Here is a 20,972-nt window from a genome sequence, read left to right as displayed (position 1 = left end):
GAAAGTTTACTTCTTAGTTAATCCTATTCATGATTATTTCTAGGAAAGGAGGTTTCATAACCAATTTCTACCTCGTTCTTTTGTTCCATTCTTGTATATATTTAAAAAACATTTACTGAATAATTTTAATCTGTTAAGCACTGAGGATACAGATACATATAATACTCAATCTCTCCTTTAGGAGCTAAGACACATGTCAAAATAACTATAACATAATATGATAAATTTTTAATAGTCACAAGCAGAAAGTACTTTTAGATTAGAGTTTGCTTGGGGTGTTTATAAGAGAGAGAGTCCACAAAGAGTCACATTAAGTTGGAATTTGGGCAAATTAGAAGCTATCTACCCTCTTTCAAGGGTGAAATCATGCAAATATCTTGGAAAAGAGAAGAACAATTTACCCAATCCAATTATTCTCTTGGTTTCATTGGACTAAAAATATAAACTCTAAGCAAAGCCCACAAAGTGAAGCCAGTAAAAAAGCAACGTAGGGCAAAAGGGCAGAAAAATGAGCAGGGTCTACTTGTGTGGTTCAGCAGAGCACAATAGTGTATATATAAAGGAGGGAAATGGACATTCAGCACCTGAACACACACACACACACACACACACACACACACACACACACAGCTATACTTACAAATGCACACATTCATTATGTCATCCTTCCCCATCAGGGCAACACATTGGTTTACAGCTTATCCCTCAACATTTGGAAACAGTTACCTTGCTTTAATTTATTGAATAAATATGAAACTGTCTGCCAATGTGTCCCGATGGAAGCCAAGTGGTGTCCCAGCTGGGGGAAGAGGTGTCAAAGCCCACACTGAGTGTGAGTGGATGGCAGAGCCGCAGGAAACGCCCTACAGTGGGGCGATGACTGACCAGAGGTTGTGCAGAGGATATAAGGGAGGAGTTCGGGAGCCAGAAGGCGGCTTCTTTCCCTTCACCAGAAGGCACCATGGGAGCATGCACTCACACTTTCTTAGGTTCCTCTGCCATCAGCTCTGCAAGGACTCGAGAAATTCAGAGTAAGCAACCAAAAAACAAGATGAGGCTGACAGGGGCTTGGGAGGGTGCCAAGAATTCTCCCTGACCTTCAAGGCCTTGTGTTCTGGGTATTTGGCCAAGGGGGCTTCATCTCCTTGTTTCATCTGCACTCAACTGCCTATCCCAGGTCCCAAATGAGAAAACTCTGTGATGAGTTCAAGATTAACTTCATTTGCTGAAATTCAACATATTGAGTACCAAGTACCTTCTTTCATTTACACATTTATTTCAAACACCCATTCAAATGGTAGGCTTTTTGCTAAAGCAAGACTGGACACAGCAAGGCACTCCAGACTGACGGGACAGCACATACATTCCCATGAAAGCACCAACCAGTAGGCCTGCAGTGTTAGGGACTGACACATTCCCATCTGGCTGGCACTGGCAGCCAGGAGGCCTGACAGGGGGCAGACGATGAAGGGTTGGGACTTTATTCCATAGGCGCTGTGGAGCTGCAGGTGGAATTTAGTCAAAAGAGAGGTTCATCCTGATTTGTGTTTTGAAAAGATGGTCATTTGGAAAGAGGAGGTGAGAAAAATAAACTCAGAAGAGGGAAAAGACTTAGAAAATTTTTTTCCCAACACATATAAACAACTCTTTCTATTCTGATTAACAATTCAGCCTAAAAAGCCGATATTAATAATAAACCCTATGTAGCATTTACTGTGTACAATTAACTTCATCTTCAGGATAGCCCTCTGTAAAATGGGGATTAATAATACCTCTCTGACTGTGTCACTGTAAAGATAAATGAACAAAATCACTTTTGTGTAAAGGACACAGCACATGGTAAACTCTCAGAAATGGCTCCTTGCTGGCTTGCATCAGCTTCAACACCTTCCTCCCCTATGATTTCAAAGCAGCTATTTTTTTTTGCAAGGCACCTACTCAAGTTCTGTTCGTTCTCAACCAAACACTTTTTTCGGGGGGATGGGAGTAGGCCTTGGGGTCATTCTGACTCAGGATCATTAAAGTCTGGAAGCCTGAGATTTCTGAAAGGTTGGTCTCCAGGGAGCTAGTTTTGGTTTCTTTTTTCCTAGTGCCTTATCCACATGACCCTGTTCTTTCAAATGCCTGCTATACCTTCAAGGCAAAGTTTCATCTATTTTTATTAAGTTGGGAGCAAAAATAATACATACACCCCCAAACTATAAAATTTTGGAACACTTAAAAACAGAGTTTAAAGCTGAGATCAAGTAAAACTAAATCATAGCGTGGTTAATGTGATGTTTAATAATAGAAATTATAATCGTGCTCTCTGTTAATTAGACCTAAGTGATATTTCGCTTGCATAAATGACAGTAATGACTGGGGAGGGCCAGAGTGTCTCTGAGACCTCTCTGAAGACTGGCCAGATATTCGTTTTTGATGTCTGGAGAAAGGGGTTGGGGTGAGGGAGGGAGAATCTCTGCAGGCTTCCAATACATCCTCTCGTTTTTGGAGATGACAGAATGAGAGCTCTACTTGCCCTTTCCCTTCGAGGCCTTTCAATATGCAGTAATTAGCCCGAAGCCGACATTTAGACTCCTTCCAGTCCCTGTCAAAAAATGGAGTATCACCCTGCACCAAGGGAGTAGACATCAACCCCAATTTTCTCTGTTCCCCAACCCTCCCCAAGGTAGACCTAGGACATCACATTCTTCTTGTCCTTATTTCAGCTCTCGGGTCTAAAGTGCAGAGGAGAAGCAGAGCAAGATGGCTGAATAGTAGCCTTCATCATCATCCTCCACACAGGAACGCCAAATTTAACAACCATTTATTAAAAAAAGCACCTTCATATGAGCCAAAAATCAGGTGGGCGATCACATAACCTGGTTTTAACTTAGGATCACTGAAAGGGGCACTAAAGAGGGTAGGAAAGACAGTCTTGAATCACTGACACCAATCCTCTCCTATTCCCCAGCAGCAGCCATGGGGTGCAGAGAGTCGGAGCGCTTTTGGGAGGGAGAGCACAGTGATGTGGGACTTTGTATTGGAACTCAGTGCTGCCCTGTCACAGTGGAAAGCAACACCAGGCAGAACCCAGCTGTTGCCATGGAGGGAGCATTGAGACTAGGCCTAGTTCAAAGGGCACTCATCCATCCCAGTGGTTGGAACTTGAGTTATGGCAAGGCTTGCCACGGTGGGCTAATGTACTCTGGGGTCCTAAATGTACCTGAAAGGCAGTCTAGGCCACAAGCCGTGTAATCGCTGGGAATGTTCTGGTGCTATGTTAGGCTTGGAGCTAGTGGACTTGGGGGGCACGAAACCTAGTGAGACACCAGCCAGGTTGGTCAAAGGAGTGTTTACACTCCGCCTCCTCCAACCCCAGGCAGTGCAGCTTGCCTCTATGGGAGAAACTCCTTCCTTCCACTTGAGGAAAGGAGAGGGAAGAGGAAACAGGTCTTTGTCTCATCCACCACAGGATAGGGCAGCAGGTAAGTCCTGAGGCCCCCATTCCAGGCCGTAGTTCCCAGAAGACATTTCTAGACATACCCTGGGCCAGAAGGGAACCTGCTGCCTTGAAGGGAAGGACCCAGTCCTGGCAGGATTCATCACCTGCTGACTAAAGAGCCTTTGGGCCCTGAATAATCAGCAGCAGTAACCAGGTAGTACATGTCATGGGCCTTGGGTAAGACTCTGAGATCTGCTAGCTTCAAGCTGTGACTGAGCGCACTCCCAGCTGTGGTGGCTATGGACAGAAACTCCTTCTGCTTGAGAAAAGCAGAGGGAAGAGTAAAGGGGACTTTGTCTTGTAGCTTAGATACCAGTTTGGCCATAGTGGAGTACAGTACCAAGTGGGCTCTTGGAGTCCCTAATTTTAGGCCTTGGGACTTGGACAGGATTTCTGCACCTGCCCTGGGCCAGAGGGGAGCCAACTGCTCTAAAGGGTGGGTCCCAGGTCTGGCAGCATTCACCACAAGCTGACTACAGACCAGTTGGTCCTCGAGTGAACATCAGCGACAGCCTGGCAGTGCTCTCCATGGGCCTGTGGAGGTGGTGGCCACGGGGACAGACTCCTCTGCTTGCAGAAAGGGGAAGGAAGAGTGGGAAGAACTTTGTCTTCTGGCTTGGGTGCCAGCTAAGCTGCAGTAGAATAGAGCAACAGTTGATTCCTAGGTTTCTGACTCCAGGCCCTGGCTCCCGAATGGTATTTCTGGACCAGCCCAGGGCTGGAAGGAATTTGCCACCCTAAAGGGAAGGACACAAGCCTGGCTGGCTTTGCCACCTACTGATTGTAGGCTCTAGGGCCTTGAGTGAATGTAAGCAGTAGCCAGGCAGTGGCTATGGCAGGCCTTGGGCAAGACCCAGTGTTGTGCTGCCTTCAGGTCTGACCCAGCGCAGTCCCAGTGGTGGTGGCCACAGGGGTGCTCATGTCACCCCTTCCCTGATTCCAGGCAGCTTATCACAGAGAGAGACTCCATTCTTGTAGGAGAAAGTAAGGGGAGACAACAACAGTCTCTACCTGGTAATCCAGGGAATCCTTCTGGAACTTATATTAAGACCACCAAGGTGGCACCTCTATGAGTCTGCAAGAGCCACAGCATTACTGGGCTTAAGGTGTCCCCTAATGCAAATACGTCTGCAGTGACCAAAGACTTAGATCACAACACCCAAGTCCCTGCAAATATCCAGAAAGCCTTCTAAAGAAGGACGAGTACAAACAAACCCAGACTGTGTACAAGCAAACCCAGACTGTGAAGACTACAATAAATACCTAACTCTGAACTATCAAGACCCCAGTGAACATCCACAAGCATCAAGACCATCCAGGAAAACATGACCTCACCAAACAAACTAAATAAGGCATCAGGGACCAATCCTGAAAAAACAAGAGATATGTAACCTTTCAGTCAGGAAATTCAAAATAGCTGTCTTGAGGAAACTCAGCAGAATTCAGGACAACACAGAGAAGGAATTCAGAAATCTATCAGATACATTTAACAAAGAATCAAGCAGAATTTCTAGAGCTGAAAAAGTTAACTGACATACTGAAGAATACATCAGAGTCTCTTAATAGCAGAACTGATCAGGCAGAAAGAAGAATCAGTAAGCCTGAAGACAAGTTATTTGAAAATACACAAGAGGAGACAAAAGAAAAAAAGTAAAAAGGAATAAGGCATGCCTACAAAATCTAGAAAACAGCCTCCGAAGTGCAAATCTAAGAGTTGTTGGCCTTCCAGAGTAAGTACAGGACAGATGGGGTAGAATGTTTATTCAAAGGGATAATAACAGAGAACTCCCCAAACCTGGGAAAAATATCAATATTTAAGTACAAGAAGGGTATAAAAGACCAAGTACAATATAACCCAAATGACACTAATCAAGACATTTAATAATCAAACTCTCAAAGGTCAAAGCAAAAGAAAGGCTCCTAAAAGCAGCAAGAGAAAAGAAATAAATAACATACAATGAAGCGCCATTACATCTGGCAGCAGATATTTCAGTGGAAACCTTACAGGCCAGGAGAGAGTGGCATCACATATTTAAAGTGCTAAAGGAATGACACTTTTACCATAGAATAGTATATCTGGCGAAAACACCCTTCAAATATGATGGAGAAATAAAGACTTACCCAGACAAACAAAAGCTAAGGGATTTTATCAACACAAGCCCTATCCTACAAGAAATACTAAAGGGAGTAGAAAGAGACTAGAAAGAAAATGATGTTAATGAGCAATAAGAAATCAGTTGAAGGTACAAAACTCACTGGTAATAGTAAGTACACAGAAAAACACAGAATATTATACACTAATTGTGGTGTGTAAACTACTCCTTTTTTTTTTTTTTTTTTTTTTTTTTTTTTGAGACGGAGTCTCACTCCATCACCCAGGCTGGAGTGCAGTGGTACCATCTTGGCTCACTACAACTTCTGCCTCCTGAACTCAGGCAGTTTTCATGCCTGAGTAGCTAGAATTATAGGTGCATGTCACCACAACCAAGTAATTTTTATATTTTTAGTAGAGATGGGGTTTCACCATGTTGACCAGGCTGGTCTTGAACTGACCACAAGTGATCCCAAAGTGCTAGGATTACAGGTGTGAGCCACTGCACCTGGCCACCACTCTTACCTTAAGTAGAAAGACTAAAAGATGAACCTATCAAAAATAATAACTACAACAACTGTTCAAGACACAGACAGTACAATAAGATATAAATAGAAACAACAAAATGTTAAAAAGCAAGGAGATGAAGTGTGAAATTTTATTGGTTTCTCTTTGCTTGTTATTTTGTTTGTTAATTGCAATAAATGTTAAGTGATAATCAGTTTAAAATAATGAACTGTATTATTTGCAAGCCTCATGGTAACCAAACCAAAAAACATAGAACAGATATACAAAAAGCAAAACTCAAGAAATTAAAACATACTACCAGAGAAAATCACCCTCACTAAAAGGAAGACAGGAAGGAAGGAAAGAAGAGAAGACTACAAAACAATCAGAAAACGAATAACAAATGGCAGAAATAAGTCATTAACTATCAATAATAACATTGAATGGAAATGGACAAAACTCACAAATCAAAAGACATAGAGTGGCTGAATGGATTAAAAAAAAAAGACCCATACATCTGTTTCCTACAAGAAACACACTTCACATATAAAGACACACATAGACTGAAAATAAAGGGATGAACAAAGATATTCTATGCAAACGGAAACCAAAAATGAACAGGAGTAGCTATACTTAGACAAACTAAATTTCAACGCAAAAACTATAAAAAGAGACAAAGAATGTCATTATTTGATAAAAGAGTCAATTCAGCAAGAGGATTTAACAACTGTAAATATATATGCACCCAACACTGGAGTACCCAGATATATAAAGCAAATAGTACTAAAACTAAAAAAAAGAGACAGATGCCAATACATTAACAGCTGGACACTTCAACACCACACTTTCAGCATTGGACAGATCATCCAGACAGAAAATCAGCAAAGAAACATCAAACTTAATCTATACTGCAGACCAAATGGATCTAATAGATATTTACAGAACATTTCATCCAACAGCTGCAGAATACACATCCTTTTCCTCAGCACATGCATCATTCTTAAGGATAGACCATATGTTAGGCCACCAAACAAGTCCTAAAACATTCAAAAACATGGAAATAACATCAAGTGTGTCCTCTGACCACAATGGAATAAAACCAGAAAATAATAACAAGAGGAATTTTGGAAACTATACAAACTCATGGAAATTAAACAATTTGCTCCTGAATGATTAGTGGGTCAATGAAGAAATTAAGAAGAAAACTGCAAAATTTCTGGAAACAAATGATCATGGAAACACAGCATACCAAAATCTATGGGATACACTGAAAGCAGTACTAAGAGGGATGTTTATACTTATAAGCACCTACATCAAAAAAGTAGAAAAACTTCAAACAAACAACCGATTGATGCATCTTAAAGAACTAGAAATACAAGAAAAAACCCCAAAATTAGTAAAAGATAAATAATAGACCAGGCATGGTGCTCATGCCTATATCCCAGCACTTTGGGAGGCCAAGGCAGGAGAAGTGCTTGAGCCTAGGAGTTCAAGACCAGCCTAGGCATCATAGCGAGATCCCATCTCTACAAAAATTTAAAAATTAGTCAGATGTGGTGGCGTGCACCTGTTATTCCAGCTACCCAGGAGGCTGAGCTGGGGGAACTGCTTGATCCTGGAGGTCAAGGCTGCAGTGAGCTGTGATCATGCCCCTGTACTCTAGCCTCAGCAACAGGGCAACACTGTCTAAAAAAAAAGAAAAAGAAAAAGAAAAGAAAAGAAAAGAAATAATAAAGATCAGAGCAGAAATAAATGAAATTGAAATGAAGAAAACAATACAAAAGGTCAATAAAATGATAAGTTGGTTTTTGAAAAGATAAAATGGACAAACCTTTACCCAGACTAAGAAAGAGAGAAGACTCAAATAAATAAAATCAGAGCTAAAAAAGGAGACATAACAACTGATACCACAGAAATTCAAAGGATCAACAGTGACTACTATAAGCAACTATATGTCAATAAACCGGAAAATGTAGAATAAATGAATAACATTCCTAGATACATACAACCTATCAAGATTAAACCATGAAGAAATCCAATACTTGAACAGACCAATTAACAAGTAATGAGATAGAAACAGTAATAAAAAGTCTCCCACTAAAGAAGATTGGGACCCAATAGCCTCACTGCTGAATTTTACCATACATTTAAAGAAGATTTAATACACCAATCCTATTCAAACTATTCTAAAAAAATAAAGGAGGAGGGAATACTTCCAAATGCATGATGTAAAAATCCTTCAGAAAAAAACTAGCAAACTAAATTCAACAACACAATAAAAATATCATTCATCAGGACCAAGTGGGATTTATCCCAGGGATGCAAGGATGATTCAACATAGGCAAATCAATTAATGTGATATATCATAGCAACAGAATGAAGGACAAAAACCATATGACCTTTCAATTGATGTCAATAAAAGCATTTGATAAAATTCAACATCCCTTCATGATAAAAACCCTCAAAAAGTTGGGTATAGAAGGAACATGCCTTAACATAATTAAGTCATATATGACAGACCCACAGCCAGTTTCATACTGAATAGAGAAAAACCAAAAGCCTTTCCTCTAAGATCTGGAACAAGACAAGGATGCTCACTTTCACTACTGTTATTCAATGTAGTACTGGAAGTCCTAGCTAGAATAATCAGACAAGAGAAAGAAATAAAGGGCATCCAAATTGGAAAGGACGAAGCCAAATTACCCTTGTTTGCAGATGATAAAATTTTATATTTGGAAAACACTAAAGACTCCACCAAAAATGATTAGAATTGATAAATTCAGTAAAGTTGCAAAATACAAAATCGACATACAAAAAACAGTAACATTTCTATATGGGAACAGCAAATATACATTATTTCTATATGCCAATAGTAAACAATCTGAAAAAGAAATCAAAAAACTAATCCCATTTACTATAGCTACAAATAAAATAAAATACCTAGGAATTAACCAAAGAAGTAAAAGATCTCTACAATGAAAACTATAAAACATGGATGAAAGAAGTTGAAGAGGACACAAAGGAATAGAAAGATATTCTGTGTTCCTGGATTGGAAGAATTAATATTGCTAAAATGTCCATAAAACCAAAGCGAATTACAGATTTAATGTAATCCTTATCAAAATACCAATGAAATTCTTCACGGAAATAGAAAAACACAATTTTAAAATTTATATGGAATCACAAAAGATTAAGAAGAGCCAAAGCAATCCTGAGCAAAAGGAAGAAAACTGGAGGAATTACATTACTTGATTTCAAATCACACTACAGAGCAATAGTAACCAAAACAGCATGGTACTGGCATAAAAAGAGACATATAGACCAATGGAACAGAATAGAGAACCTAGAAATAAATCCACACATCTACAGTGAACTCATTTTCATTAAAGGGGTCAAGAGCATACATTGGAAAAAGGACAGTCTCCTCAAAAAAAATGGTGCTGGGAAAACTGGAAATCCATATGCAGAAGAATGAAACTAAACTCCTATCTCTCACCATATGCAAAAATCAAACCAAAATGGATTAAACACTTAAATCTAAGACCTCAAACTATGAAACTACTACAAGAAAACATTGGGGGAACTCTCTGGGACATAGGACTGGGCAGAGATTTCTTGAGTAATACCCCACAAACACAGGCAACCAAAGCAAAAATGGACAAATCAGACCACATCAAGTTAAAAAGTTTCTGCACAGCAAAGAAAATAATCAACAAAGTGAAGAGACAACCCACAGAATGGGAGAAAATATTTGCAAACTACCCATCTGACAAGGGATTAATAACCAAAATATATAGTAGCTCAAACAACTCTATAGGAAAAATATCTAATAATCTGATTTTAAAATGGGCAGGGCCAGGTGCAGTGGCTCATGCCTGTAATCCCAGCACTTTGGGAGGCTGAGGCAGGCGGATCATGAGGTCAGGAGATCAAGACCATCCTGGCTAACATGGTGAAACCCCGACTCTATTAAAAATACAAAAAAATTAGCTGGGTGTGGTGGCGGGCGCCTGTAGTCCCAGCTACTTGGGAGGCTGAGGCAGGAGAATGGTGTGAACCCAGGAGGTGGAGCTTGCAGTGAGCCAAGATTGCACCACTGCACTCCAGCCTGGGCAATAGAGTGAGACTCCATCTCGAAAATAAAATAAAATAAAATAAAATAAAACAAAACAAAACAAAACAAAACAAAACAAAACAAAATAAAATAAAATAAAATGAAACAAAATAAAATAAATAAAATGGGCAAGCGATTTCAATAAACATTTCTTAAAAGAAGACATACAAATGGAAAAGAGGTATATAGAAACCTACTCAACATCACTGATCATTAGAGAAATGCAAATCCAAACTACAATGAGATATTGTCTCACCCCAGTTCTAATATGAGTGAATAACTTACTAAAAGTGAGGCAATAACAAATGATGGTGAGGATGTAGAGTAAAAGTAATCCTCTTACACTGTAGGTGGGAATGTAAGTTAGTACAACCACTATAGAGAACAGTTTGGAGGTTCCTCAAAAAAGTAAGAATAGAGCTACCCTGTGATCCAGCAGTCTCACTGGTAGGCATATACCCCAAAGAAAAGAAATCAGTGTATCGAAGAGATATCTGCAACACTATTCACAAAAGCCAAGATTTGCATCAACTTGAGTGTCCATTAACAGATGAATGTATAAAGAAAATGTGGTACATATACAAAATAAAGTACTATTTAGACACAAAGAAGAATGAGATCCTGTCATTTGCAACAGCATAGATGGAACTGGAGGTCATTATGTTAAGTGAAATAAACCAGGCACAAAAAGACAAACTTCGGGCCAGGCGAGGTGGCTCACACCTGTAATCCCAGCACTTTGGGAGGCCAAGGCAGCTGGATTACCTGAGGTCAGGAGTTCGAGACCAGCCTGGCCAACACAACGAAACCCTGTCTCTACTAAAAATACAAAAATTAGCCAGGTGTGTTGGCACATGTCTGTAATCCCAGCTACTCAGGAGGCTGAGACAGGAGAATGGCTTGAACCTGGGAGGCGGGGGCTGCAGTGAACCAAGATTGCAGCACTGCACTTCAACCTGGGCAACAGAGTAAGACTCCGTCTTAAAAAAACAAACAAACAAAAAGACAAACTTGGCATGTTCTCACTTATTTGTGGAAGCCAAAAATTAAAACAATTGAACTCATGGAGATAGAGAGGATAATGATGGTTACCAGAGGCTGGGAAGGGTAGTTGGGGGTTAAAGGGGAGGTGAGCATAGTTAATGGGTACAAAAAAATAGAAAGAATAAATAATATCTAGTATTTGATAGCACAACAGGGTGACTACAGTCAATAATAATGTAATTGTACATTTTAAAATAACTCAGTATAACTGGATCATTTGTAACACAAAGGATAAATGCTTGAGGGGATGGATACCCCATTTACTCTGATGTGATTATTATATATTGTTTGCCTGTATCAAATTATCTCATGTACTCTATAAATATATATTATGTGCCCACAAAAATGACAAATTAAGAATTTTTAAAAAATAAATAAACCACAGAGGAGCTCCAGAACTGGATAAACATAGGCTTTAACTTGAGCTGAAACAGAGCATTCAAGCCAGCAATGGGTGGGCCTGCGGCCTTTACTTGGCTTGATGTGAGGACAGTGCCCTCCTCTCATGAGGACCCTTTTGTAGACTCAGTTCATATTATTATGTAAGGCTTGTCACCTTTCATTAACTTTTCTTGCAAGCCTGGCTATTTCTTTCAACTCTATGTGGCCAGGAGAGGCTTTGTGTCACTATTTCAGATGCAGACGCACATCTTAGGGAAAACTGTCTGCAAGTGACAGCTTTCTCAGCCACAAGTCAGAGAAGTAGAGAAATCAATTTGAATTCTGGGCATCCAATCAAATATTTAGAAAAGGACACTTTACCCTTTGAAAGCTGCAAAGTAAACAGAAGTTCAGCCTGGGAAGCAAATGTACTTCTGATTATTTAAACTGAAGCCGTCAGTGGTTCCAACAACTTCAATGAGGGAATTTCAGGCAAATGCAGAGAACAAATGCAAAGTAGTATCCAGTAGTCCTAGTAACATCAGAACCCTATTAATATACTCACATCCTGGAAAATGTCTGTTTCAGGCTTTTAGCAATTATTATCTGCAAACTGTGTTGCCGTAAAGTTTGAATGTTTTTCATCAATTAGTAAGAATCCATACCCATGTCCTTATAAGTGTTTGCTTTTCTTTTATATCATCAGCTAATAGACATTTAATGAAATACTAAGAAAACGTGCTCTCCCAGTGAAGAGACCACATTTCATATTCCTTCCGAGTCATCTTACCACCATATATTTATATTTCTGGCTCTTTGTTAACTATATTTTAATCAATGTCCCTTAAAACCTTGCTACTCAAAATATGATCCAGGGACCAGCAGCATCAATATCACATGGAAGTTTGTTAGAAAAGCGGATTCCCAGGCCCTTCCCCAGGCCCTACTGAATCAGAATCTGCAATCCCCCAGTGTTTCACACTATAGCGTGAGAGCACTGACCCAAAAGAGCATGTGCATCTGACAAATCTATAATCGACAAAAAAAGGCAAACACTTTTGCATAGAAAATCCAAGTACAATGGTATATATGTAGGTATATGCAGTGATACTAATAAATGCCAGTATGCTTACTGAATGCCAAACCCTGTTATACGGTCATGACTCTTCACCGCAACACAGGACGTAGGTACCATCCTCCTCATTCTTTAGATGATGTACAGAAGCACAGAGAGCTTAAGTAACTTTTGCAAAATCACACAGTAAATCTGTGGAAGAGGCATGACTTGAACCCAGGCAATCCGACTTCGGAGGGCAGGTTTGTAACCATTATACTCTACCATTACATTCACCATTCCTCAACAGTGTGCACCTGTATTCAGGAAATGAAACAGTTGCTTTGGAATCTGAAAGATAAAGCTAGATTGCTATCAGGCCCATCATTTTAGTTCAGTAACATTTAGAAGCAGGGAACATTAAAGCTGGAGATCACAAAACTCTCAGAGAATGCCCTTAAGTATTTTCTGAGGACACTGAAGCTCAGAGAGGATGTGTGAAAACCAGTGGTTTTTCCAAAGGAGCAGAAAACTGGAGGCTATGATGTTTCCCATGATGTTTCCTGCCTCTTCTGTACCGCATCCTAATTCTTTCAGGGTTTGCTCTTCCAAAGATACTTCATACACATCAGATATCAAGTGACACCTTGTTCCTTTCTTAACTTGCATTCAAAATGTGAGAACAAAATCCTGTCATTTGCAATAGCATGGATAGAACTGAAGGACATTCTGTCAACTGAAATAAGCCAGGCATACAAAGACAAATATCACGTTTTCACTCACATGTGGGAGCTAAAAAAACCAAAATTGAACTCCTGAAGACTGAGAGTGAAATGCCGGTTGCCAGAGACTGGAAAGGGTAGTAGGGATGGGATTATAAAGTGAGGATGGTTAATGGGCAAAAAAATACAGTTAGAATGAATAAGATCAAGTGTTTGGTAGCACAATAGGGTGACTATAGCTAATAATAATTTATTGTATATTTTAAGAAAACTAAAAGAGTAGAAGCTGGGTGCGGTGGCTCACGCCTGTAAACCCAACACTTTAGGAGGCCAAGGCAGGTGGATCACTTGAGGTCAGGGGTTCAAGACCAGCCTGGCCAACATGGTGAAACCCCGTCTGTATTAAAAATACAAAAAATTAGTTGGGCATGGTGGCGTGAGCCTGTAATCCCAGCTACTCAGGAGGTTGAGGCAGGAGAATCCCTTGAACCTAGGAGGCAGAGGTTGCAGTGAGCTGAGATTGTGCCACTGCACTCCAGCCTGGGCAACAAGAGTGAAACTCCATCTCAAAAAAATAAATAAAGTAAAATAAAATAAAATAAAAGAGTAGCACTGGAATGTTCCTAATACAAAGAAATGCTAAAAACTTGAGGTGACGGATACCCCAGTTACCCAGATTTGATCATTACACACTGTATGTCTGTATCAAAATATCACATATACCTCATAAATATATACATCCATTATGTACTCATAATAATTAAAAATATACTTTTTAAAAATCTGAGAATATCAATCCTGCTTTATGTTATTTTGCATCCTATCTGAAACCTCCTCATTCAAAATGTTGTTGGTGGGGGGGTAGGTTGTGCTCACAAATAACACCTCAATATCCCTAATATTAAACACTGTAGCAAGTTATATTCAAACTATAATAGGAACTTCCAGGTGTCATAGCCAAAGAGCTCTTCCTGTGATTAAAATCGGTCTGCCAGCTAGCTATAGAGTGCTAATTAAGAGAGACTCTTCGTTTGGGCTCCAGAGTCATTTACCTGCTAAATCTTAGCTCCATGAATACATACGTAGATGAAAGGAGGGTAGAAGTCCAAGCGCAAATTAATGTAGCTACGGAATTTGTGCCATTTCATCTAAGATGCCTATTTTTAACCAAATGGTGCTTTCTGTCAACACTGAGCATCCCACAAGGATTCTCTGAAGCCCAGAATGTTTGCAGAACGCCAGGCGGGGTGTTCCTGGAACAGACTTCAGAAGCCTAAGGAGGTTGAAAACTTCCTGTTTAAAGTACAACTTCTGCTATAAAAGGCATGAAACAACTTTCCTTTGGAAGCCTGCCCCTTCTGGGGAGAGGCAAGATAAAATATGCCATTCCCTTAAAATGCCACCCTCATGACGCCAACCAATTCTTGATTAAACCAGCAGTGCCCTTTCCATAACCTCCGTTTCACAGGCAAAGAAGGAGCTCCAGATCCAACTCGCAAAGATTGCTGTGTCCCTTGTGAAGCATGTGGTGTCAACATAAATCACTTAATAATGGGAATGCTAGAGTGGGACCTGGTGACGCCCAAAGATCAAAAGCACAGTCAGGGCTGACCAAGCAGCCCCATCTCAGCCCACTCCTCCCAGAGCGCATGGTTGAGTGGCCCTGACGTGGGCTGGGGGGAGCTAGCAGCCTAGTCTCTCCCTGGAAAACAATGGAGTCAGCAGTCACAGATCAAACACCTTAAGAATTCACCCCAGTTCGGGGGCACTTACCTTGCACTGCCCAGACACACAGATGGCCGTGCCGTTCTGGTCACAGGGGGTGCCATCGATGACTTTCTCAGCTTGCCGTACATAGAAGCGGTAGCCCATTGCCTGGCAGTTCAACTCACATTTGCGATTGCCTTTTACTACCAAAGTAAAATGAAATAAAATAAAATAAAGATAAGGTATAAGCAATATCATCTCTGTGGAATCAGCACCTTTTTTCTTCCTATAATTTTTATTGAGAAAAATTTGTATAACACAAAATTAAGCATTTTAACCAACTATACAGTTCAATAAGTCTTCGTATATTCATAAGGTTGTGTGTCCAACCGCAACCATTATATAATTCCAGAACATTTCCATCAGCTCAAAAAGAAGCCCTGTGCCTGTGAGCTGTCATTTCAATTCCTCACTCCCCCTAGATCTTGGCAACCACCAATCTACTTTCTGTCTCTATTGATCTGCCTATTCTAGACATTTCATAATCACACACTTTTTAAAAGTGCATTAAAGTTATCAGCTCTCCCCATATTTGATGATAGAGGGAAGGGATTGTATCTTGATCTATTTGCATATAGTAGTGATACAGTGCTGAGTGAATATTATAAAGGAATTCTCAAAGACTCGCCATGCAAATAACAGATTCTACTTTTAGACATCCTCCCACGCTTTGCCATTGTCATAATTAATTACGTTGGTGCAAAAGTAACTGCACAATTACTTTTGCACCAACCTAAATATATTTCATATATCAGCAATCACAGTGAGCACATAATTTTTATGTTTACAAGTCTCACTCTGTAACCCAGGCTGGAGCGCAGTGGTGCAATCTTGGCTCACAGCAACCTCCGCCTCCCGGGTTCAAGTGATTCTCCTGCCTCAGCCTCCCAAGTAGCTGGGATTACAGGTAACTGCCAACACAGCCAGCTAATTTTGTGTGTGTGTGTGTGTGTATTTTTTAGTAGTGACAGGGTTTCACCATGTTGGCCAGGCCAGTCTTGAACTCCTGACCTCAAGTGATTCGCCCACCTCGGCCTCCCAAAGTGCTGGGATTACAGGCATGAGCCACCACACCTGGCCATATTCTGCTTTTTAAACTTAATATCTACGCAGTTATATCATCTGTATGCCTTTTTAAATGGCCGCAGCTTCCTGTAATAATTCCTCCATTATGAGGTATTTAAGTGGCTTCTCTGTCACTCTAGGTTGAAGTTCAAAGTCCTAAGCAAGGGATAAAACCTCTTTCAAGAGCGGAACCTCGCCTACCTTTATAGCCTCATTTCCTCCTGTTCTTCCTTAAATCCCATTCCTAAATACACAGTCTACACACAACTAAGCACTCCCTCTCTCTAGCCGTTGCTTAACTGTTCCTTCCCTCACTTGGCTGGCCTGCATTTGTACTTCGCTTGCATTTCCAGGTCACCTCCTCAGGAAGCCCTCCATGGATCTGGATCCCACCTCTACTTCTGCCCCCTCTCAGGTTGATGTGGCCTCCTCTATTTCAGGGTTAACCATGCTGTATTGCAGTGTGGTTTTGCGAGAATACAGGATGTCTCTGTCTTATTCACTTTTGTATCCCAGGAACCCAGCACAGAGCTTGGCGCATAGTAAATGCTAAACAAATCTCTGAGGAATGAAACAAGGGATGGATAAATGAATATCGGCCTTTTCTCCCCCTTGTCTTTCTCTCCCCTCCTCCTGCTAGATATATTTCCCTACCTCAGAGTCTTTCTGTACATTTCTATCACTTCACACCAAGCCTGGCACACAGAGGGTGCTCAGTAAATGCTAAATTAATTACTGCTACAAGGAACATCTCAGAACAATTTAGTTGCTTCCAAAATAAGAATGAAAATAAATTTCAGGCAAGATATATTTCTATATCCAAAAGAAACAGACAAGATAAGTACACACTGTATGTAAAAAAAACAAAAAAAAAAAAACTGTTTTGGAGACAAGACTAATGCTGTGCTCAGCCATAGACAGCCTAGAACAGGCTGTCTAAAAATCAGATTACCTGACTGGGTAATACTGACTTTTTCCTACACTACATGATACAGCATATTTCCCCAGTGTGGCTGCCTGACTGTCACAGCAATAAACTGCCTTCTATTCCAAAGCCACTGAAAACCTCTAACAGGAAATCACATGGAGCCTCTGGGACCACATGGTTCAGGAAGACTGCATCGTCTAGATACTCTGAGCTCTATCTTAGAAGTCAAGAGACCTGGTTTCTTTCCTTGGCTGCCCAAAAGATGTAAGAGGTGATTTGGGGGAAAAAATAAAAGAATACCAAGATGGAATCACCTCTGGGATTTATTTCAAACGAAATCATCATTTGATAGATTAAAAAACAGGCTTAAGAAAGGAAGTGACAAGTTGGAGGCAAAATTCATCTCCTACAACTTGCTTTCTCATTTCATCTACCAAGACCCCATTCCCTCTCTCCCCAGCTCCTCACTTTCTGAAGCGCTAGAACTATCCAGGTGCATTGCATTGTAAGTAATCCAAGTGTTTGTGAAAGGCAGCCTCATCTGGGCAAGGGTTTTGGGTCCTCACTTCTCTTGGCTTCCTCCCAACTATCTGTATCTTTTGAGATACTATCTTTTGGGGCCAGAATTTTATTCCTCAATATTTGCAACCATACTGCAGAAGAACATTCTGAGGGGGGGGGAAAAAAAAAAGCTAAACGTGAGACAATTACAGCAGAATCTCCGAATGGCCACAAGAAAGGAACCCAGAGGAATGGCCTTAACTCTGGGCTCCTCCCACCAGTAGACACTGGGGACACTGGGTCCACCTTCTCCGATCTGCAGCTAGGAGATAAATAAACCTGAGGACAAGGGACTTCTTAACAAAACTACCTGGCATCCTGTTGCCTTAGAGAACACCCTAGTTCTTCTCATAAAATTATGTAATGACTTCTCTAGACCCTGCATAGACTTCCTACCCACTGCCCCCAACCCTTGTGTCTGTGTGAGATAGGGTCTTGTTCTATCACTCAGGCTGGAGTGCAGTGGTGCGTTCTTGGCTCACTGCAACCTTGACCTCCCAGGCTCAAGCCGTCATCCCATCTCAGCCTCCCGAGTAGCTGGGACTACAGGTATGCACCACCACACCCAGCTAATTGTTGTATTTTTTGTAGAGATGGGGTTTTGCCATGTTGCCCAGGGTGGTCTCAAACTCCTGGTCTCAAGTGATCCTTCTGCCTCGGCCTCCCAAAGTGCTAGGATTACAGGCATAAGCCTCTGCCCCCAGCCCCCACCTCCTTTAAAATTCCTCATAAGAATGCATTTGGGCCGGGCACAGTGGCTCATGTCTGTTATGCCAACACTATTGGAGGCTGAAGCAGGAGGATTGCTTGAGCCCGGGAGTCCAAGACCAGCCTGGGCAACATAATGAGACCCTGTCTCTACAAAAAAATTAAAAATTAGGTGGGCGTGAGGGTGCACGCCTGTAGTCCCAGCTACTCAGGAGGCTGAGGTGAGAGGATCCTTTGAGCCCAGGAGTTTGAGGCTGCAATGAGTTGTGACTGTACGACTGCACTCCAGCCTGGATGACAGAGCAAGAGCAAGATCCCATTTCAAAAACAACAACAACAACCTTTGAAGGGTTTCAAATTAAGGTTTTGCATGGATATTCACTTTATTCTTTTTTTTTTTGCCTTTAAGTAAAGTACAATTCTGATGCCAGGAGACTCTTCTCTAAGCAGATTTTGTCAGGTTTTGTTGGTGCAGGGAAAGTGGGAAAACACAAGGGTTGCCACAAGCTGGGAGCAAGAGGAAGTGGGCACAAACTTCTGTTTCTCTCCTTCTTTGTCCTCATCTGTTTCCTGAATGTCCTCCCTGCCTCCAAAAGGAACATTTCACCTAGCATCCTGTCCACACACTAAAGCAGTGGTTCCTACTGTGGTCCTGGGACTGGCAGCACCAGCATCACCTGCGTACTTGCTGAAAATGCAAATTCTTGGGCCTCACCCCAGACATCCTGGATCAGAAACTCTGGGGATGAGGTCTAGGACATGGTCAAGTTTGGGAATCATTGCTCTAAGGAAAATCAATCAGTGAGCCGACTTGGAAGCAGCTGACTCTTATTTTGAATCAAAGATATTCAGATCCCACGCCTGAATTTAAAAGATAATACAACCCCAAATATAGGTACTCTAAATTTAGGATATTACCCGGTATTTGGAGCCCTGATATTTAAAAGCCCTCTGACCATGAAAAAAAAAAATGCTGGTGACTATACAAGAAAATTTAGGTTACTAAGAGTAAAGCAACTAAAAGCTAAAAGTTTACACTCGAATACAAGTTAAAGATTTAAATCACTCTTGAATTTTGTTTCCTTGGAAAAGCCATTGATATAATAGTGAAGAGTTTTTAAAAAGTAATAAACTCAAAAGAAAAAGAAAATAGAAAAGGAGTTAACGGTTACAAAATTTAGGAAACCGGAAAGCAGAAGGACTCATTGTAATGACTTAGCCGACCCAAGAAAGCTGATCCTAAGCAGCAATAAAAGCAGCAAAGCTACGCAGCATTACGGAGTCTCCAAAAGGTAACTTTGGAAATGGGGGAGAAAGCAGACCTAAAACCGGGACAACTATCTCTAAGAGTTGTAAGAAGTAGTTAGAGGTTCTGCTTTCCAGAATGGTTATCAGTGCCTCTGAAAATCAACTCTTCCATAAAAGCAAAAGGCAGCTAGAGTAGCTCTACTAATATTTTGGACAAAGTAGACTTTAAGACAAAAATTGTTACTAGAGAAAAGTACATTTTATAATAATAAAAGAGTCAATCCATCAGGAAGACATAACAACCAAGCCCCAAAATACATAAAGTAAAAACTGACAGGCTGGGTACAGTGGCTCATGCATGTAATCCCAACACTTTAGAAGGCCAAGGTGGGCTGATCACCTGAGATCAGGAGTTCGAGACCAGCCTGGCCAACATGGCAAAACCCTATCTTTATTAAAAAAAAATACAAAAATTAGCCGGGCTTGGTGGCATGTGCCTGTAATCCCAGCTACTTGGGAGGCTGAGGCAAGAGAATTGCTTGAACTCGGGAGGCGGAGGTTGCAGTGAGTCGAGATCATGCCACTGCACTCCAGCCTGGGTGACAGAGCAAGACTCCATTTCAAACACACACACACACACACACACACACACACACACACACACACACACACACACCAAACAAACCTGAGAGAACTGAAAGAAGAAATAGACAATAATACAACGGTAGTTTCAAACTTTGATATCCCACTTTCAATAATAAATGGAGCAATGAGACAGAAGATCAATATGGAAATACTTGAATAACACTATAAACCAATTAGTCTTAGATATCTACAGCAGATCAATAAGGAAATAGAATACTTGAACAACACTATAAACCAATTAGACTGAGACATCTATAGAAGATCAATAAAGATAGCAAATACTTGAACAATACTATAAGGCAATTAGACTCAGCTAGCTATAGAATACTCCTCCCAACAGTAGCAGAATACACATTCTTCTCAAGTGCACATGAAACATCTCCAAGAGGGAATAAATGTTAGGCTATAAAATAAACTTTAATAAATTTTAAAATATCAAAATAATGAAAAGTATGTTCTCTGACCACAATTGAATGAAATTAAAAATAGCAGAAAAAAATTTGGTAACTTTTTAAATAATGGAAATTAAACAACATACTCCTAAATAATCAAGAAAAAAAAAACACAGGAAAATTAGAAAATACTTTGAGGGCCAGGGACGGTGCTCATGCGTGTAACCTGTAACTTTGGGAGTCCAAGGCAGGAGGATCAC

At 40.7% G+C, this 20,972-nt stretch overlaps 1 protein-coding gene across 7 annotated transcripts in view; it reads right to left on the bottom strand.

Moving 5' to 3' along the window:
- THSD4 (thrombospondin type 1 domain containing 4) overlaps window positions 1-20,972 on the bottom strand; it is a 686,490-nt gene that overhangs the window by 356,389 nt on the left and 309,129 nt on the right. For 5 of the 7 annotated variants that reach the window (NM_001394532.1, NM_024817.3, XM_047433080.1 and 2 more), the window contains one exon: window positions 15,172-15,308. The exons of the other annotated variants lie outside the window; for them this stretch is intronic. In NM_001394532.1, the coding sequence (NP_001381461.1) occupies window positions 15,172-15,308 (137 nt within the window). The remainder of the gene's footprint in view (window positions 1-15,171; window positions 15,309-20,972) is intronic. 7 annotated transcript variants of the gene reach the window in all.

Source organism: Homo sapiens, chromosome 15 (assembly GCF_000001405.40).
Source record: "Homo sapiens chromosome 15, GRCh38.p14 Primary Assembly".
Lineage (NCBI taxonomy): Eukaryota > Metazoa > Chordata > Mammalia > Primates > Hominidae > Homo > Homo sapiens.
This window is presented reverse-complemented; position numbering and strand designations above follow the sequence as displayed.